The sequence below is a fragment of the Homo sapiens genome, chromosome 3 (assembly GCF_000001405.40).
Source record: "Homo sapiens chromosome 3, GRCh38.p14 Primary Assembly".
NCBI classification, from domain to species: Eukaryota; Metazoa; Chordata; class Mammalia; order Primates; family Hominidae; genus Homo; species Homo sapiens.
This window is the reverse complement of record NC_000003.12, coordinates 122515028-122536425: the sequence shown is the minus strand read 5'-3', so window position 1 is coordinate 122536425 and position 21398 is coordinate 122515028. Positions and strand designations below refer to the sequence as shown.

General features: G+C 40.7%; 1 protein-coding gene and 2 long non-coding RNA genes across 34 annotated transcripts in view, besides 1 other annotated feature; 1 reads left to right on the top strand and 2 right to left on the bottom strand.

The window, feature by feature from the left end:
- Nucleotides 1–8502, top strand: part of PARP9 (poly(ADP-ribose) polymerase family member 9) — a 36861-nt gene extending 28359 nt beyond the window's left edge. For 20 of the 32 annotated variants that reach the window (NR_170857.1, NR_170858.1, NR_170859.1 and 17 more), the window contains exons 10-11: nucleotides 84–258; nucleotides 7683–8502. Coding sequence is in view for 23 of the 32 variants with exons in the window: in NM_001387875.1 (NP_001374804.1) it covers nucleotides 84–258; nucleotides 7683–8062 (555 nt within the window). In the remaining 9 variants the exon portion in view is untranslated. Of the gene's footprint in view, nucleotides 1–83; nucleotides 4655–5530; nucleotides 5672–7682 lie in introns of those variants that run through there. The other 12 variants (NM_001387882.1, NM_001387879.1, NM_001387883.1 and 9 more) reach the window with 2 other exon arrangements.
- LOC105374071 (uncharacterized) overlaps nucleotides 1–10527 on the bottom strand; it is a 34072-nt gene extending 23545 nt beyond the window's left edge. The window contains exons 1-4 of the long non-coding RNA XR_001740869.2: nucleotides 10440–10527; nucleotides 9812–9899; nucleotides 8635–8728; nucleotides 5207–5302 (exon numbers count right to left, since the gene is read on the bottom strand). This is a non-coding gene — a long non-coding RNA (uncharacterized LOC105374071). The remainder of the gene's footprint in view (nucleotides 1–5206; nucleotides 5303–8634; nucleotides 8729–9811; nucleotides 9900–10439) is intronic.
- Nucleotides 2250–2544: a silencer, noted in NCBI's record as "tiled region #13157; HepG2 Repressive non-DNase unmatched - State 24:Quies". NCBI's record gives its function as "represses a minimal TATA promoter and a strong SV40 promoter by Sharpr-MPRA in HepG2 cells {active_cell/tissue: HepG2}" and the evidence as "EXISTENCE:reporter gene assay evidence [ECO:0000049][PMID:27701403]".
- Nucleotides 10528–19067: 8540 nt separating the features above from the next.
- Nucleotides 19068–21397, bottom strand: LOC107984000 (uncharacterized). The gene is made up of 2 exons (XR_924403.3): nucleotides 21298–21397; nucleotides 19068–19401 (listed from the first exon to the last, which is right to left on the bottom strand). It is a non-coding gene; the product is annotated as an uncharacterized LOC107984000 (long non-coding RNA).
- Nucleotide 21398: the final 1 nt, after the last annotated feature.

Below are 21398 nucleotides of genomic sequence, written 5' to 3'. Positions count from 1 at the left end.
CTTTATTTTTGAAGCAGTATAGCAGGCAATTTAAAGAGCGGTTCTCTAGCCTCTTTTTCAGTCTTTCTTTTCTATGGTTCTAGGTGGAGAAGATAGACAATGAGGTCCTTATGGCTGCCTTTCAAAGAAAGAAGAAAATGATGGAAGAAAAACTGCACAGGCAACCTGTGAGCCATAGGCTGTTTCAGCAAGTCCCATACCAGTTCTGCAATGTGGTATGCAGAGTTGGCTTTCAAAGAATGTACTCGACACCTTGCGGTAGGTGTCAATGCCTCATCATTGGGGCTACTCTGTGGAATTTGGTGAGCTGACATCAGTAGATTCTTCCACTGATAGCATTTGTTGTTGTGGGGAAGGGATCATTTGTGACTGTGATTTAGAGGTCACAAATGATGACCCAGGTCACAAAGTATTTTGGAAAGAGTGGTATTTTTTACTTTTCCTTCGTATCTTTTGTTGCTGATGCATTTTACATTGATGAAAAGTGTGAGCAGTAAGAACTACGGTTCACTGTTTTTCTCCTTTATGTGTTTCTGTGTCCTATCCGCAGAGAACACGTTGAGGCTTTTTTTTTTTTTTTTTGCCTTACTTATCTCAACAAAATTATTACCAACAGCACTGAACCGTCCTCATCCCTTAATTAAAAGGGCATTTTCCCAAATTTAAGAAAGTTGGTCTTTTCTCTTTCATCCCTTTGTTTCCTATAGCCTGCTAGTGAATGAATTAGGTATCATTTGGCAGGTGAAGTGCATAACATCTTAAGATCCTCTTCATCCATAGGAGTTCTATGTGTAACTCCCATGTCTCTTTTCAGATGTACAAAAACATTGCATATATAATTCTTATATTGCCCCCTCTACTCCTCAGTCACTAATGAAGATTTCTGGCTTTAGTTCTCTCCAAAAGAGGAAAAGAAATTTAGTAAAAATTATGGAGAGATACTTAGCGGGGTGGCTTGATTTTGCTTGGTCTATTAAATATGTGGCTCTTGATCTTTATCTTTCAACATATGTAGCATGATCCTTGCTGAGGAGTCAATTCCAATAGACTTGGTTTCTAGGATGCAAAGGCTCTAGAAATCATCTTTTCTTTGTTCTGGAGAGAACATAGGCAAAACTTGGGGTAAATGTTGAACATAGACAATTACTGGGGATAAAAATAGAGAAATGAATCCCTACCAAGAAGCCTTTTGGGGCAATCAGGAAAGTGATGATCAGTATAGTCCCTTCATTAGCAAAGTCTTAAAAAATCTATAATTTCCATTTGCTCCTAAAGCTGGCTTCTCTGCAATCCCCACCCACTACTTCTACTTAAATTACTTTCATTAAGATCATCGCTGTGCTCTTACTTTCCAAATCTAGTGAGTATTCTCTTTTCAGTCCTGTGACAGACTCTGCTACTTGCCTACCCAACATCTATACACATCTTTCTTACTAAAACATCTAAGACACCCACTATCCTCCCAAGGAATATGGTCCCAAGGTCTTAGCCAGACTCATCATCAGCTCAAGTTCAGGCAGTTCTCTCTTTATTTATTTATTTATTTTTCTGAGACGGAGTCTTGCTCTGTCACTCAGGCTGGAGTGCAGTGGCACCATCTTGGCTCACTGCAACCTCCGCCTCCGAGATTCAAACAGTTCTCCTGCCTCAGCCTCCCAGGTAGCTGGGATTACAGGCATGTGCCACCACGTGCAGTTAATTTTTGTATTTTTTTTAGTAGAGACGAGGTTTCATCATGTTGGCCAGGCTGATCTCCAGCTACTCGTGATCCGTCCACCTCAGCCTCCCAAAGTGTTGGGCTTACAGGTATGAGCCACCATGCCCAGCAGGCAGTTCTCTCTTAAAGCTTAAAGGCAAGATACTGCCCCCAACATACTCATTATATAGTGATATAAAAAGGAGCGGGAAAACTGCAATGAAAACTCTCATGTTGAAAGGGGAGAAGCAAAACACACAACAGCCACTGGCTCACACCACTTATCTACATGCTGCCGAACAGGTATAGAGAGGACTCCCTATTCCATGTTGTAAAACCTTTATTTTGCACTCTGGGAAAATCTTCCTTATATATTGTGGCCCTTGGCTATTTCCAGGTTCATTGCCTATCAGGGAGCCATGGATTTTCTCACAGGCTAGAATGTGCTCAGGCTGTTGCAACCAGGCTTGTGGTTTCTTCAGCAATACAGTTCCTTTAAAAATTCAGTGGGCACGAGGCCTAATTTCTTCTGGTTAAGTTTATGTCTTTATAACCTAACCACAGATCTTGTCTCCATATAGTCTTTCAACTCAAGATTTTGGTCTCTTACCTGCTGTCTGTGTGCTCTGCCCTTCTCCCTATCCCTTAGCTTAACAGCCACTGCCTTGAGGCAATTCAGACATGACTCATAATGTGACCTGCACCAATTGACTCATCTCTGTAGGCTAGAGAGAACTCTTAACAGAAGGTGCCAGACAAGCCCAGGAGACACCAATCTTGCTACCACTGAAGCTGTTGTTATTTGGAGTACAAAAGCTCTTAGCTTTTTCAGCCGTGCAATATTCCAAATTATAGGACTCTCAGTCAATTTAGATGGCCACCCACAGGCAAAGGAGACAGAACTTCTGTTAACAAACCTTTATTTTCTTTTTTCTATTTATGTTTGCATTCCAACCAGTTCTGAATAAATCTCTTGCTTGTAGGACTTGGTTGAGTGCAGCAAGAAGGCATCTACACATGCAGTTTCTTACTGGGTTGATTCATTTGTTCCACAGGTATTTATTAAGCACATTCTATGAATCAGGCCCTGTGCTAGGGGTACTAGAAATAGAGTGTAAATAAAAAACCATAGAGTTCTTGCCCTTACAATTTATAATCTCACGAGTTCACCTGTTGCCCATTCTTTATCTTCTCTCTTTTTTCCTCTACGATGTCCCCCTTGGTGATGGCACCTGTTCCCATGGCCTCAACTCCTACCTCAATGATGACGACTTAGGAATTTCTAACTCTTAACTCCCTACCTCTCTCCTGACCTGCAGGTTCATATGTCTCACTCTCTTTTTGACATCTTTACCCAGATGTCCCATAGGTAACTCAAATTGATCCCTTTTCTTGGTCATGATTTTCCCTAAGAAATATGCCCTTTGTTTGCTGATTCTCCCTAACCTGGTTAGTATCATCACCATCTACCTACCAGGTTTCCTAAGGCTGAAACATTATCATCCTCCATTCCTCCTTTTCCCTCACCCTTATACCCAGGCATTCACCCAGTCCTAGTGATTCACTCTCATGAAGATCTCAGCCCAGTTTCACCTCTCTATTCCTACTGCCTTAGTTAATCTTCCTTCAGACCTAGACTATTACTAGGTCCTCTCCTTGCCACAAAACACACCCCTACCTAATCTATCCTTTACCACCAGAATTATCACGCTAAAAATTACATTCTTGCTTAATATCTGTATTCCCAGTTGCCTACGGGATAAAAGCCCAAACTCCTTAGCAGAGAATATAAGGCCCTAGCTCCCACATTATTTCAGCAGTCATCACCCACTATGTTCCTCAAGACTGCAGCCATTAACTTTTTAGAGTTCCCTAAACATGCTGTTTACTTTCATGCCTCTATCCCGTTGTCTGTGGAATGACTTCCCTCCTTGCCCTTTTCAGTGCTACAAACCCCTATTCTTTAAGACATAGTACAAATGGCATCTCCTGGTTGGCATCTTTCCTGCAGGCCTACAGGCCTAGTAAGTATCTTCCTCCTCTGTGCTCCTGCATACCTCCATTCCTTTGTTATGACATCTATAACTTTAATAAGTACTAAAATCTGTAGTCCTACAAAACTCAGGCATAGAACTCATTTCCTTTATGGCTCTATAATGGAACTTTACCCAACTCTCACGTTCCCCATGACCACAGATGTGGAAAATTTGAATCTTGACAGTTCAAGGTGAACTCAGTCATTTTCAGAGTTTTCATAGTCCCTTCAAGATTGAAACTCAGTTCCTGCAATGTTTGCCCCTTTTCTCCTCTTTTGTCTATGCTGGGAGAGGCATTGTGGGGAGGGTTGTCTGGCTTATGGCTCCCATTGTCCTCTGCTTGATAAACCACCTGAGCTTTGGTCATTAGCAGTCTCCTGTGCCTTTCACACTCAGGTAGTGTCTGCACAGGCCACTCTATGTCTTTTCCATGCTGAAGAAATTCCTTTCCAGGCCATGTCTGTGTTCCTCCTGCCACACAGGAAATTTTTGAGCATGTTCATCCTCCAAGCTGAATGCAGGGTCTTGGGTAGTGGTCCTCACCTGCTCCAGAGACTTCTCCAGCCATTGCCACTCTCCACTCAGGTGATGAAGCTGGATGAGGGACTGCACCCACCAGAGTCAGGCCAGGGTCCTGTCTGCTCTGTGAGTCCCTCCAATTGTTCTTATTCCGAGATTTCCATTGTTCTGCCCCCTCTTGACTCCCAGGGCTCTCAAGGGAGTGGGGGTAGTGAAGGGAGCCCTTTCCCAAGCTCCCCCAAGAGCTCTAGTCACATCACTTCTGATACTTCTTTTCCCACCAGCTGGAAGAAAGAACTTTCATTTGTCTTGAAATGAGAAAAATGTTCTTAGAATATTTTGTATTACTCTCTGCTCTGTCATTTATGGTAAACAAAATAAAATAATAAAAAAAAACAACCCATGCTCTGAATCCTTCTGGTTTTTAGCTTTTGGTTCAAAAAGCCCTTTTCCTCTCAGAAAAGCTAACTCTGAAAGCCAGAATTTCAAGACCATACTCTCTTCTGTGAATTAAAAATAATTACATATATATATATGTACTTGTAAACACAAACATATAGATACATACAATTATATACATACAGTTATACGGGGTTTCACCATGTTGGCCAGGCTGGTCTCGAACTCCTGACCTCGTGATCCACCCGCCTCGGCCTCCCGAAGTGCTGGGATTACAGATGTGAGCCACTGCACCCAGCAGGCAGTTCTCAAAAAACTATACATATATTTATATATAGACTTTGTTCTCATCTTTATCCTTTTCGCCCTTAATAAGAAGTAGCAAGGACTCAATAGGTGGAAGAACAAAGAGCAAGAAGAAACTCCCGGGAAAGAAAATCTTTGATTTTTATCTCAAAATATTACCTTGCCACATAAATTGTACTATATTTTATCTGTTTACATGATGAGACTTCCCTTTGTGAAATGTTGAGAATAGGGATCATATCTTACTCACTTTTAAATTTCCAGAGCTGCACTGTTCAATATTGTAGCCGCTAGCTACATGCGGCTATTGAGCACTTGAAATGTGGCCGGTCTAAATTGAAAGATGCTGTAAGTATAAAATACACACCGGATTTCAAAGACCTACTACAAAAGAATGTAAAATATCTAATACTTTTCAAAATATAGATTACATGTTAAAATAACATCTTGAATGGCTTAAATAAAAATGTTAATTTCACCTTTTTTAAAAAAATGTTTTAAAATGTGGCTACTAGAGTAGCTGGGAATCCAGGTGAGTGGCACAATACCTGACTAATTTTTTTATTTTTGGTAGAGATTGGGTCTCACTGTGTTGCCCAGGCTAGTCTCAAACTCCTGACCTCCACCAATCCTCCTGCCTTGGCCTCCCAAAGTGCTGGGATTACAGACATGAGCCACTCAGCCTGGAAGTTTTAAACGACATGTGTGACTCATAGTACGTTTCTGTTGTTTAGTTCTGCTCTTGAGCCTAAAAGTGTTTGGTTACATCCCACATAAAGAAAGAGAGGGAAGAAATGAAAAAAGGAAAGGAAGGAAGGATAATATGGCATCAAAGAAGGTATAATTTTTTTCCCTCTAAGTGAGGTCAGAAAGGGCAGTGAACAGGGATTACTTCGAGATCCAGAATTTGGCCCTCAGCCTCCTGAGTGTTTTTAATACCCCAAAGAAGATAATACAGATCACAGGCAATGTGTCAGAATGGAGAGTACTCATTTCTAGTGGTGGGAATAGGGCATATCTTCCTTAGTATCACAGTCCCCAGAGTGCTTGATGGGTGGAAAGTTGCCCGGTGAGCATGGACCTAGATAACATGCACGTGGAGATTCTTCATGAGGTATTGTGCCAACCCATGGAGAGTACACAATACCCTCCTGGTGACTAGAATGCCTCTGTCCTTCCAAATCCAGGAGTGCTTTTCCTAAACAATGAAGTATGCACACTGTCATTTTATATACTCCACATTCCCCTTGACATATTTTTCTTTTTCTTTCCTTTTTTTTTTTTTTTTTTTTTGAGACAGGGCCTTGCTTTGTCACCCAGGTTGGAGTGCAGTGGCACGATCACAGCTCACTGCAACCTCAACCTCCTGAGTTCAATCAGTCCTCCCACCTCAGCCTCCTGAGTAGCTATGATTACAGGTGTGCACCACCATGCCTGGTTAATTTTTGTATTCTTTGTGGGGATAGGGTTTTGCCATGTTGCCCATACTGGGCTTAAGCGATCCACCCACTTTGGCCTCCCAAAGTGCTGGGATTACAGGTGTGTACCACCGGGCCCAGATGACATATTTTTCTTGTAATGCTGTTCATGAGGTTAGGAGGCACTCCGTCTTCTCTTATTAGATGCTATTTTCAAACCATCTTCTTGAGAGTTCTGGAAATATCCCTATTTGTAGCATGTAGAAGTCAGACAATGTTCTTTTTTTTTTTTTTTTTTGGGACGGAGTCTCGCTGTGTTGCCCAGGCTGGAGTGCAGTGGCGCAACCTCGGCTCACTGCAAGCTCCGCCTCCCGGGTTCATGCCATTCTCCTGCCTCAGCCCCCGGAGTAGCTGGGACTACAGGCGCCCCCAACTGCGCCCGGCTAATTTTTTTGTATTTTTTTTAGTAGAGACGGGGTTTCACCGTGTTAGCCAGGATGGTGTCCATCTCCTGACCTCGTGATCAGCCCGCCTCGGCCTACCAAAGTGCTGGGATTACAGGCGTGAGCCACCGCGCCCGGCCGAAGTCAGACAATGTTCTAAGGGAAACAGAACCTTCCTTTTGTTATGCTCTGTCAGCTACTTAGTTGATAATACTGACTTGAATCTAAGTTCTTTGAATCTCAGATCTTTGTCTTTTACGTGGAGTTACTACCCAAATCACAGATAATTTAATCTAATCAATGTGCAATACTTTGAAAACCATTAACTTCTCTATGAACACTAATGGTTCTTTTTTTTTTTTTTTTTTTTTTTTAAGAGTTTCGCTCTTATTGCCCAGGTTGGAGTGCAGTGGTGCGATCTTGGCTCACTACAACCTCCGACTCCTGGGTTCAAGTGATTCTCCTGCCTCAGCCTCCTGAGTAGCTGGGATTGCAGGTGCCTGCCACCACACCTGGCTAAATTTTTGTATTTTTAGTAGAGACGGGGTATCATCATGTTGGCCAGGCTTCTGACCTCAGGTGTTCCACCCGCCTCAGCCTCCCAAAGTGCAGGGATTACAGGTGTGAGCCACTGTGCCCAGCCCTAATGGTATATTTGAATGTAAGTTATTATGATGTTGATGGTGTCAGTGATAATTTGTTTCAAGGAACAATTTTGAGTGTCTTTGCTATAGACACAGGAACTCAGAATCAGGAGGAAGTGATTATTTGGAAGACTAAAGAAAGAATAGATATTAGTACCCAAATCGGCAATATCATTTACCAGATTATAATAATCTTTTTATTTTATTTTTTCCTTTATCAGATCCAAAATACGGAGCTGGCATATACTTCACCAAGAACCTCAAAAACCTGGCAGAGAAGGCCAAGAAAATCTCTGCTGCAGATAAGCTGATCTATGTGTTTGAGGCTGAAGTACTCACAGGCTTCTTCTGCCAGGGACATCCGTTAAATATTGTTCCCCCACCACTGAGTCCTGGAGCTATAGATGGTCATGACAGTGTGGTTGACAATGTCTCCAGCCCTGAAACCTTTGTTATTTTTAGTGGCATGCAGGCTATACCTCAGTATTTGTGGACATGCACCCAGGAATATGTACAGTCACAAGATTACTCATCAGGACCAATGAGACCCTTTGCACAGCATCCTTGGAGGGGATTCGCAAGTGGCAGCCCTGTTGATTAATCTCTACATCATTTTAACAGCTGGTATGGCCTTACCTTGGGTGAACTAACCAAATAATGACCATCGATGGCTCAAAGAGTGGCTTGAATATATCCCATGGGTTATCTGTATGGACTGACTGGGTTATTGAAAGGACTAGCCACATACTAGCATCTTAGTGCCTTTATCTGTCTTTATGTCTTGGGGTTGGGGTAGGTAGATACCAAATGAAACACTTTCAGGACCTTCCTTCCTCTTGCAGTTGTTCTTTAATCTCCTTTACTAGAGGAGATAAATATTTTGCATATAATGAAGAAATTTTTCTAGTATATAACGCAGGCCTTTTATTTTCTAAAATGATGATAGTATAAAAATGTTAGGATAACAGAATGATTTTAGATTTTCCAGAGAATATTATAAAGTGCTTTAGGTATGAAAATAAATCATCTTTGTCTGATTAACTGGCTCTGAAAAATTATGTGTAAAATGAAACAATTTGAAGTGGAAGGACATAAAAAAGCTGATATTCTATTTGGATTCAGCTACATCAAGCAATGCCACTCAAACACCATGAGGACATATTATCTACTCACCAAATATATATTGACCACCAGATATATTTCAGTCACTTTGTGGGTCCCAGGATATGATGCCGGACAAGACAGATGTCTTCATAAACCTTTTAGCCTGAATAATCAAAAAGGCATGGACAACTTAACAAGTGTGATTAGATATAACAAAAAGAGAACTACAGAGTTTATGGAAAAATTGAAGACAGAGAGGGATAGATTAATCAGGGGCTTGGAGCAAGGCCTCCTAAAGCAAGTGAAATTCAAGCTGAGAACATAAGGGATGTAGCAAATCAGGAGCAGTCAGAAGAGTTGTTTAGGTAGAAAGAATAGCCTTTATAAAGGCTGAATCTGCTGTAACTATGCCCAAAGTTGACTACACGGTTCTACTTGCAATGTAGAGGCCAGCTAATTTCACCATGCATCTCTTGCCTACTTTTAAATCCATATTTCTCTGTACTTCCAAACTTTCCTGACCTCACATCCTCAACCTCTTGCACAGAACACTTCCTCCTCTTCCTTGCCTTACCTTACTAGCATTCTCCCTCTTGAAAGAAGTGTGCTTGTTGTCTCATATGGCACTGCCCTTGGATCTGAGTAAGAGGGGATCTGCCTTGTACCCCTGGATTGAGAGGCCCCCTGCCTTAGGCTCCTTACTTAAGAGGGTCTCATTCTAGCCTTCCTCCAGTTGTGCCCATGCTCACAAGGTGAGGAGTCCACACGGCCAAAAGATTGGATTCATCTGGACCCCACACTCTTCATTCCTAAATCACCCACTAGGAATGCAGAGCCCCAAAATTTCCTGCCCTAACAGCTCTGAGTCTACTTCCAGGGCTTGATCGGGTCTCTTTCTTGCATCCCTCCTCCTGAGGGTGGACTGTGCCAAAGTCTGCATCAAGAATAGCCAATAGATGATCATCTGTAGGTATGAGGCTTGGACATGGGTGCTGAAGCATCCACACATGCTTGAGGCCTGTGGTGCAGAGCTGAGCTGAGAGTGAGAGGACAGATTTGAAAGATCTAGTTGGCAAGGCGTAGTGGCTCACTCCTATAATCCCAACACTTTGGGAGGCCAAAGTGAGAGGATCACTTGAGGCCAGGAGTTTGAGACCAGCCTAGGCAACATAGTGAGACCTCCATCTACACACACACACACACACACACACACACACACACACACACATACACACACACAAATTACCTGAAGGATTGCTCGAGTCCAAGCATTTGAGGCTGCAGTGAGTCATGATAGAGCAACTGCACTCCAGCCTGGGTGACAGAGCAAGACCCTGTTAAGAAAGAAAGAGAGAAAGAAAGAGTGAAGAAAGATCTAGTTTGTGCTTAGTAGGAATTTTAAAAGAGAATGGAGGAGAGTCAGTGTTCACAAGGATAAATAAGAAATACATTCCAAGAAACAGCCAGATCTTAAAAGCAGCTAGAGAGAACAGCCAAATCATCTACAAAGGAAAGACAATTAGACTGACAGCCCATTTCTTTGTTTGGCAGAATAATGTCCTCCCCACACCCTGCAAAGATGTTTACACCTTAATCCCCTAAATTTATGAATATGTTACCTTACATGGCAAAAGGGACTCTGCAGAAGTAGTTAAGGTTACCCTTCAGATGGGAAGAGTAGCCAGGATTATCCAGGTGGGCCCAATCTAATCACTAAAGTATTTAAAAGTAGAGAATGCTGACTAGCTGGGTCAAAGAGATGGCAGGATGGGAAGAATTTGATCCTGAGATGTAGGAGGCTATGTGCAAGGATCAGAAAGGAGCTTCTAAGAGTAAAGGGTAGCTCCCAGTTGACAACCAGTGAGGAAACATACCTCAGTCCTTTAACTGCATGGAACTGAATTCTTCCAACATCTGCATGAGCAAGGAAACAAACTCAAGAGCCCTCAGAAAGGAATAAAGCCAGCTGACCAACACCTTGATTTTAGCCCAGTGAGATCCATTCCTGACTTTTGACCTACAGAACTTTGAAACAATAAATTTGTGCTCTTTTAATCCAGTAAAGTCATGATAATTTGTGACAGCCATAAAAAAATGAATACACTTTTCAATAGCAACAATGAAAGTCTGAAGACGTTAGTATATTTCCAAAGGGCTGACAGAAGTTAACTGTTAGCCTAGAATTCTACAATTAGCTGAACTTATATTCAGTACCACCTACTTGGGAGGCTGAGGCAGGAGGAACACTTGAGCCCAGGAGGTGGAGCCTGCAGTGAGCCGAAATCACACCACTGCACTTCAGCCTGGGTGACAAATTGAGGCCCTGTCTCCAAAAGATAAAATAAAATAAAATAAAATCAGACAAAATAGATGTTAAGTTGAAAAGGATTATTAGCAAAACCTGGCAGAATTATAGGCAAAGGGGACAAATCCACTATCATAATGATTTAACAGCTCTCTCAGTAACTTGTAGATGACCCAGTAAAAAAAAAAAAAAAAAATTAATGAGAATATAGAATTGAGTTACACAATTTTTATTTGATTTATGTGTATAGAATTCCCCACTCAACAATGAGAGAATACATAGTCCTCTTAAATAGACACTGAACAGTTATGTATATTGACCATATTCCAAATTTAACAATTTTCTTTTTATTTATTTACATTTTGCCAAAGACTCTAGATAAGAAATCACTAAATTCAACAGTTTTAAAGATATTCTCAGTTGGTCTATGTTCTCTAGCCATCATCCGTTATGCAATTAACATATAATTCAATTTTTAAAATAGCTTAAAATAAATCTGTTTGGAAATTAGATATAATCTTCAAAATAATATCCCATGGGTCATGAAAACATAACAAAATAGAAAATATTTAGAACTGAATGATAATGAAAATATTACTACCACAGCTTGTGACATAAAGCTAAAATAGTGCTTAAATTCTTTCTAAGCTTAAGGGTTATATTAAGAAAAATAAAGGAATAAATCAATGAGCTAGGCAGACATCTAACTTAAGGTAAGAAAATAAAATCAGAACAAACTTGAAGAAAGAAAATATAAACAGAAAATAATGAAATAGAAACAATATCCAATGCGAGAACAATAAAATGAATAGCTGTTTTTTGGTAAAGATTAAAGAAACAGACAAACCTTTGGTAAGACTGATCAAGAAAATATAAGAAAAGGTACAAATAGAAATTGTTAATAATAGAAGAATGTAACCAAGACACACTAGAGATCTAAAAGTAGTAACTAGAAACAGTTTTGTGCTAATTCAAAATTTGGACAAAATGTAGACTTTCTTAGAAAAATATAATTTAACAAAATTGATTGAAGAACTAGAAATCCTGAATTTTCTAATATCTGTTAAATAAATTGAATTGGTATTTAAAAATTTACCTACCAAGCAAACAGGTAAATACAACAGGCTAAGATGATTTTGACTTTATTAGTGAATTCTACAACATATTCAAAGAACAGAGTATTCCAATCTTAAATAAAATCTTCTAGAGAACAGAAATAGAGGGAACACTCCCCGACAAATTTTTTAGGGCAAGTATAACCTTGATACCAAAAAATAGAAAACAGTATAAGATAAAAAAATTATAGATGAATTAAATTATGTAAGTAGACGTACAAATTCTAAAGAAAATATTAACAATTATAATTTGGCTCTGTGTAAATAAGTAAATCATAGTCAACTTGGGTTTACCTCAGAAATGCAAGGATAATTTAACTTTCAAAAATCAATTAGTGTAACTCACCATATAAATATATTAAAGGTTGTGCTCATCTCAATATTTAGAGAAAAATCACCTGATAGACAATTCATTAAAGGATAGCTACCAAAAACAAGTATTTCATGATTAAACATTAGAATGATTCCCTATGAAATAATGAATGAGACAATAAATGCTTCCTATTACTTCCTATTACTACTCATCAACAATCAATTAGAGGTCCTGTCCAACATAATAAGAAAGAAAAGACGGCTGGGCGCAGTGGCTCACACCTGTAATCCCAGCACTTTGGGAGGCCGAGGCCGGCGGATCACGATGTCAGGAGATCGAGACCATCCTGGCTAACACGGTGAAACCTCTTCTCTACTAAAAATACAAAAAAATTAGCCTGGTGTTGTGGCGGGCGGCTGTAGTCTGAGGCAGGAGAATGGTGTGAACCCGGGAGGCGGAGCTTGCAGTGAGCCGGGATCGCGCCACTGCACTGAAGCCTGGACACCTCCGTCTCAAAAAAAAAAAAAAAAAGAAAGAAAAGAAAAAGAAAGAGTGAGAAAGGAAGGAAGGAGGGAGGGAGGGAAGGAAGGAAGGAAGAAAGGAAGAAAGGGAGAAAGGAAGGACAAGTAAAAATGGAGAAATAAAAATGTCATTGATCATAGAGAAGATGATTGTTTATAGAAAATTCAAGCCAGGCATGGTGGCTCATGCCTTTGGGAGCCAGCACAATCCCAGCACTTTGGGAGGCCGAGGTGGGCGGATCACCGGAAGCCAGGAGTTCGAGACCAGCCTTGGCCAACATGGTGAAACCCTATCTCTACTGAAAATACAAAAATTAGCTGGGCATGGTGGTGTGTGCCTGTTAAATCCCAGCTACTTGGGAGGCTGAGACACGAGATTCACTTGACCCCAGGAGGTGGAGGTTGCAGTGAGCCGAGATCACACCATTGCATTCCAGCCTGGGCGACAGAGACTCTTTTTGAAAAAAAAAAAAAAAAGAAAGAAAATTCAAGAAAATCTAGATACAAATTATTAGAATTAATAAGAGCATGCATCAAGGTTCTAAATATAAGTTATACGTAAATCAATTGCATTCCTATACATGTGAAACAGTAAGTGTAATAACTTACACTTTAAGTTTGGCTTAAAGCTGCCTCATACATAGCAAACTGCAACCTAATTTAATAGTATATTCTTGGTTCTTGGTTGGTTTTTTTTTTTTTTTTTTTGAGACAGAGTTTCACTCTTGTTGCCCAGGCTGGAGTGCAATGGTGTGATCTCGGCTCACTGCAACCTCCACCTCCCAGGTTCAAGCAGTTCTCCTGCCTCAGCCTCCCAAGTAGCTGGGATTACAGGGATGCACCACCACACCCGGCTAATTTTGTATTTTTAGTACAGATGGGGTTTCACCATGTTGGTCAGGCTGGTCTTAAACTCCTGGCCTCAGGTGATCTGCCCACCTCGGCCTCCCAAAGTGCTGGGATTACAGGCATGAGCTACTGCACCTGGCTAAGCATCTATTCTTTTAACAAGTAGCTGAGTCTCAGACAATCACAGGCTGCCAACTCATTAGAACATTCATGTAAGGCAAATGCCCCATCATATCATGCCCAGAAAAGGTAAATGCTGAGCTATAACCAATCAGGTTGTTTCTGTATGTCACTCTTTTTCTTTCTATAAATACTGCCTGCCCACATTGCTGGGTAGAGCTCTTGGAACCTCTCCTGGTTCTGAGTGCTGCCTGATTCATGAATCATTCTTTGGTCAAGCAAACTCTGTTAAATTTGTGTATATATAAGAACATACATATGTGTATATATATTATATATATCATATATATCACATATACATATCTCATATATAGATACTATATATCATGTGTATATATATCATATAGATGTGTATATATACACACATATATGATGTATATATCTATATTTATGTATATATTCAAGATACATGTGTTGCTCAAGTTTACATATAATGTATCAATTATATAAATATGTATAAATATTCTGCAATATTTTTTAAATACCTTTTCACACTGCAGGTTGCATGGTATCAATATTTTTAGGGTACATTAAAAAATTTCCAGCAAATATTTGCAATTAGAAGCTAAGTACCACTTAAAAGTTAGAATTTATATGACAAAGAATACAACTGAATCCTTATTCACTTTTTCTTTGTCTTTTTTTTTTTTTTTTTTGAGACGGAGTCTCGCTCTGTCACCAGGCTGGAGTGCAGTGGTACGATCTCAGCTCACTGCAACCTCTGACTCGTGGGTTCAAGCAATTCTCCTGCCTCAGCCTCCTGAGTAGCTGGGACTACAGCCATGCGCTACCACACCCAGCTAATTTCTGTATTTGTAGTAGAGACAAGGTTTCACCATGTTGGCCAAGATGGTCTTGATCTCTTGACCTTGTGATCCGCTCACCTCGGCCTTCCAAAGTGCTGGGATTACAGACTTGAGCCACCAAGCCCGGCCCACTTTTTCATACTAAAGTTGAAACTGCTATTTGGTGTTTGTATTTAAAAAGTTGTTTTTTGTTGTTTTTTATTTTTTTATTTTTGTAGAAGATGGGGTCTCACCATGTTGTTGCCCAGGCTGATCTTGAACTCCTGGCCTCAAGTGATTCTCCTGCCTCAGCCTCCCATAGTGCTGGGATTACAGGTGTGAGTCACCAAGCCTGGCCTGGTACTTGTGTTTTTGCTTACTGGTTTTTTTTTTTTTTTTTTTGAGATGGAGTCTTGCTCTGTTGCCCAGGCTGGAGTGTAGTGGCATGATCTCGGCTCACTGCAACCTCCGCCTCCCAGGTTCAAGGGATTCTCATGCCTCAGCTTCCTGAGTAGCTGGGATTACAGGCACCCACTACCATGCCCAGCTAAATTTTTAATTTTTAGTAGAGATGGGGTTTCACCATGCTGGCCAGGCTGGTCTCAAACTCCTGGCCTCAAGAGATCCATCTGCCTTGGCCTCCCAAAGTGCTGGATTACAGACGTGAGCCACCGTGCCCGGTTTGCTCACTGGTTCTGTTTATTTTCTGAGTATCATATGACTCTATGCATACATTTCTCAACATGGAGCTGTGTGTGTGTGTGTGTGTGTGTATGAATGACTGAGGTAAAATTGCAGATCACTTGGAATTCAGTGCACGAATCTCAATAAATGGTCTTGGACAACTGGTTAAGGAAATGGAAGAGAATAGGTTTGGATCTTGTCCTAGGTGATGTTTCCCTAGAAGCAGAACCTGAGATGGGAATTCATGTTTAATTATTTTTAGGGGGAGTACTCTCAGGAATATGGGAATAATGGAGACAGCACAGAGCAGGGGAAAAAGTTAGCAAGAAGATATTAATAGTCTCAGCTGAAGACTAGCTTTAGTCTAATTCTAAGGGGAAATTCTAGAGCACAAATTCTCTTTTTTTTTTTTTTTTTTTTTTGAGATGGAGTCTCACTCTGTTGCCCAGGCTGGAGTGCAGTGCCACGATTTCAGCTCACTGCAACCTCTGCCTCCTGGGTTCAAGTGATTCTCCTGCCTCAGCCTCCTGAGTAGATAGGACTACAGGTGTGCTCCACCACGCCTGGCTAATTTTTGTATTTTTAGTAGAGACAGGGTTTTACCATGTTAGCCAGGCTGGTCTCGAACTCCTGACCTCAATGATCTGCCCGCCTCGGCCTCCCAAAGTGCTGGCGTGAGCCACCTCGCATGGTGGGCCTACAAATTATATAATTAGAAGTAGCCCTCTGCAGCAGGGGCTGGCCTTTTGAACCCTGCTACAGTTTTTGGCCTAGGTCTGCCCTCTCTGGGGAGTGGAACCCTTCTAGCAAGGTGGCTCCTGTTAGACCTAGGGCAATTCAGAGAAGTGGGGCAGTAGAGTTACAAGCCCCACTCACAGTAGGTAGGGGAATGGGTCACTAGTCTGATGAAGGAGATGTGAGGAAGAATTACCAGCTGTCCCCATTTGTTTGACTTCCCAGATTTTAGCACTAAAATTCCCATGTCGTGGGAAACCCTCCCAGGACACAAAAAATCCTGTTTTTCTGTGATGGGTATGGAGGTTGGGATGAAAAGTGCAAAACTCCTATGACAGCCAAAAAAATAGGGGCTGAAAACAATACTGCTTTTAGTGTTTAATGGATATAGCATAGATTATTCACCTTATGTAGTCACTGTTATTATTTTCCTGCCCACTGATGTTGGCAACCATGATGTACAGTTCACAGTAATTATAATCCATTGTTGCATCACTCTATGAAACTATGTAAAGTTACATTTCCTGATTCAGAAAGTGTTCCCTTTGCTGGGTGTGGTGGCTAATGCCTGTAATCCCAGGACTTTGGGAGTCCAAGGCAAACAAGTGGATCACTTGAGGCCAGGAGTTTGAGACCAGCCTGGCCAACATAGCAAAACCCCATCCCTACTAAAAATACAAAAAAATTAGCCAGGTGTGGTGGTGCACACCTGTAGTTCCAGCTACTCGGGCGGCTGAGTCAGGAGAATCACTTGAATCTGGGAGGTGAAGGCTGCAGTAAGCTGAGATCATGCCACTGCACTCCAGCCTGGGTGACAGAGCAAGACTCCATATCAAAAAAAAAAAAAAAGTGTTCCCTCTAGCTCTTAGGTAATTTGACTTGAAAACTGAAGTTTCAAATTGTCATCTTGATGTCTATTAAGATTTTCACAAAATCACAGAAACACAAAACAAAGGGTATCATGTCTTGGCCAAATACAAACTAGGCTTGGCTCATTTATCTGCTTTTGATGTAAATGATAATTTTGACGAATTCTATTCAGTCTCTTAACTTCTCACCAAATAAAATGAAAGGATCTCATCTGCTAAACAATGCTAAAAGAGAGCTGTGATTTGCTTACCTGAGATATGGAGGCTTTGATAATGAAAGTTTTTGGTCATTTCAATTTCCTTGAAATGTACAGAAGCACTTAATGAAATTTTTGACTTTATAGAAATGGAAGGAGATAGCTTCCTTAAACATGTGTCTATAAGGTGGCTATCACTGAAGCTGGCCACAGAAAAGATGTTAAAATGTTGGCTTGCCATAAAATATCTGAGTGTGGAACAAAACAGCATGGTCTGCTTCAATTTGTAAATACACCGAAGATGAGAATGGAGAGAAGGTTTATAATAAAACAGAAATAAACCTGCTGGTTCTCTGAAACTGTCTGATAATCCTCTAAGAGGCCATAAGGAGACTACAAGGATAAACTCACTGACTTGAGTTGTTCAATGTTATGTGTAGGTTGCAATAAAAACTCCAACCAAGAAAAATAGGTCAACTTTCTGGAAATAAGATTGTTTCAGAACTTTTAAAAAAAGTATCCAGAAAAAGGCAAATTAAACAGAACTTTCTGGATTTCTTTACTACAGCTGTAAACTTACTTGAAATCTAACTTCAATTTTATAAGCTCAATTTTTTTGTTGTTGTTTTGCTGAAGAGTTAGAAGTGCATAAACCATTTTCTCTGGGGAAATGAGGTTTAACTGAGGATGACATCCAATGTGCTTCAGAGTGTTTAAAAATGATAGTCATTTCACATATGGAAAGCCTACATGGTTAATTTATAGATGCACAGGACATGACTGATAGACAAACAGCAGGTTTACCTGAATATACAAAGTGGATGGACCTTTCGGAGAGCTGGAAACGAATTCCTACAAGTTTAAAAATGTGCTGTGCTAGTAAATAAAATCCTAAGTATTTTGTGCTCCAACAATTTTGTTTATAGAATATTTAGCTTTATGTTTTTACTTTGACAACAGAAGCAGTGTAATGTAGGCAGAGGAGCAAAGCTGCAAGTCAAAATTAGTTTTATGTTTGACTGTATTCAGTTTTACTATCACACAAAAGAAAAGAAAAACGTCCTAAAGATCCCAAGTAGTTCAGAAAAGTACTAATGGAAAAGGAAACAGAAAGAATAAAAATATCTCAAGCTATCATGGGACAGAAAGAAATATGTCATTATTTTTTATTTAATATAGGTAATATCTATCTCATTAGTTCTATTGTATACATTCTTTAAAAAATTCTTACACTTATTTATCTCAAGAATATAGGATGATATAGCCTACAAAATTCAAATATGCAATAGAGCTAAATTGCTATACCAGAGGAAAGAAAGAAACCTTATGAAATTGTTGCATTTTTCTCATACATATTATTTGCTTAATTAGTCTCTCTATTTATTACTACTAGTTGCTTTTTTTTTTTTTTTTTTGAGACAATATCTTGCTCTGCCACCCACGCTGAAGTGCAGTGGTGTGCTCAGACTCCTGGTCTCAAGTGATCCTCCCACCTCAGTCTCCTGAATAGCTGGGATTACAGGTGCGACTCACCATGCCCGACTAATTTTTTTGTGTGTTGAGATGGGGGTCTTGCTATGTTGCCCAGGCTGGTCTGGAACTCCTGGGTTCAAGTGATCCTCCTGCCTCAGCCTCCCAAAGTGCTGGGATTACAGGCATGAGCCACTGTTCCCAGCCTGCTATTTTATTTAATTGCATTTATGCAACAGAAAAGAAATACAACAGAATGCATAATTCTAAGTAAATATCTATTTTTCATGTTTTTATGTTCAAGTAATTTATATGTTAGATTGGCAAAAATTTAAAAAGCCAGACATTTCTAACTGTTAGCAAGTGAAGAGTATCTTATATACCGTTTCTAGAGTACAAATTGGTACAATCACTTTATGAAATAATCCAGCAATGTCTAGTGTATTAGTTTTCTATTGTATAATAAATTACCATAAACATAGTATCTTAAGACACATTTATTATCTCACAGTTTCTGTAGACCAGGAGTCTACGCACAGTTTATCTGTTTTCTTTGCTCAGGGTCTCACAAAACTGCTATCAAGGTTTAAGTCAGGCTGTCTTCTCATCTGGAGGCCACCTCTCAGGTTGTTGGCAGAATTCATTTCCTTGTGGTTGTGTGACTGAGGGCCCTGGCTTCTTACTGGTTGTCAGCTGCAGGCTGCGCTCAAGTTCTAGAAGCCGTCTGCAGTTCCCTGCCATTTAGTTTTCTCCATAGGCAGTTCGCAACATGACAGCTTGCTTCTTCAAGGCCAGCGAATCTCTAGCTCCAGTCTGGAAAGACAGTCTTATATAATGAAACGGAATCATGGGAGTGACATTCTATCACCTTTGCCATATTCTGTTGGCTAGAAGTAAGTCAAAGGTCCCACCTACACTCAAGGGGTGGAGATTATATAGGCAACACCAGGGACCAGAGATTATGGGGGCCATCTTAGATTTCTGCCTGATACATATAGTAAGGTTAAAGATGCAATGTCCTAGGATCTAGCAGTTTCCCTATACACAGTAGAGATGTACAAGAATGTTCACAGCAGCATTGTTTGTGACAGTAAAAAATACTGTTCTATACTTTCAAATTTCTCAAACTATAAAATGATATTGTCAGAGAGACAGTAGCTTATAAAACACCATGTATGGTATGATAACATTTTTGTAAAAGTAACATACATAGGAATTCAACTTCCAGCAATGGCCTACTGTTGTTTTCAATCAACCTTTCCACTACAGAGAACAACTGAACAAAATATAAAAACGTTAATGTACTGAAGAGCTACCAAGGAAGTGAGAATTTGTGAGTGCAAGGTCTGGAAGAAAAAGGAAGCCACCAGAGGTTAGCCTGATATTTGCCATCATTTTTCCAAAGCTAAGGTGATTGCTGACTCTGAAAGCAGTGGCTGAAACAGGGAGAAGAGCTTATGGCTGTCTCATGGGGCTTAGAAGGCCCACCAAAGAGAAGAGGCCCTAGTAAATACCCCAGACTTTTGGATGGGACCATCAAGGACTAGCTAGGAATAAGGGTGAACCGGAAATAAATTAGCTTTCCCAAAGACTGAAGACCGGCTCTGAATAATCAGTCTTAGTTCCTTATTGGAATAAGGTGATCTGTCTTCAGTCTAGCTGTGGTCAGGCAAACTTGCCCTTAAGTCTCTCCTGTTGAACACACCTTCCCTTTCCCCAGCCCCCTTGCTCAAACTCAACTCTGATCTTAGTAAACACAACATCAGCGGGAGAATGCTGATGCAGCAGAGAGAAGTCCAGGACAAATGAACATTGCATAACCTAGGATTCAGGTAGAGTGGTCCTCTCTCCTCTCCTCTTCCCTGGGACATTTATAAATGTATTAATCTACCTCATCTCTTTCACCTTGCTTCTTGGCATGTGTTTTAAATCTGTCTACTATTCCGTGATCCCTGCTAGGCTGGCTTCAGTTTTTCTTCTTTTGAAGCCACTACTCCATTTGCTCCCCCAAAGAATTCCATGAAATTTAACATTAGCAATCATTTGCTCCAAGTTTTCGTTTGAGAGCAGTTGAGAGTAAAACGAGTATGTGTTTCATGTAGTTTCATTATTATTATTATTATTATTGTTATTATTATTTTTGAGGCAGGGTCTCACTCCGGTTGCCCAGGCTGGAGTGTAGTGGCGCGATCTCGGCTCACTGCAGTCTCACCGTCAACCCCGGGCTCAGGTGATTCTCCCACCTCAGCCTCCCGAGTAGCTGGGACTTCAGGCGCCCGTCACCACCCCCTGCTAATTTTTGTGTTTTTAGTAGAGACGGGGTTTCGCCATGTTGCCCAGGCTAGTCTCAAAACTCCTAGCCTCAAGTGATCCACCCACCTCGGCCTCCCAAGGTGCTGGGATTACAGGTGTGAGCCACCGCGCCCGGCCCTTAATTATTTTTGATACTACGCATACGTTATCAAGCAAAGGGGATGGGAGATAACTAAAAAAGGAATGTCCAGAAGCTTCCTGCATTCATGCTGCATGTGAGCCCTTTAGACACGAGGCGCTGACCTACTAATTTTGTAATACTCCCTCAGCCTTCAATCATTCCATCATTCATTCCATCAACGCGTATTAGGTACTTAGAAGCTATACAGAGGTGAGCATCGATCCGCCCTGGAAGAGCTTAGCAAAGACAGGTTTGTACATATAACTTTCTCCAACCTTTGCCATGGTCTGCAAACCTCCTTCTTAGCGAGACCCCCTCCCCGACCCCCGACTCTTCACAGGCTGGGCGCTAACCATTAGGAATGTCCGGCGAGAGA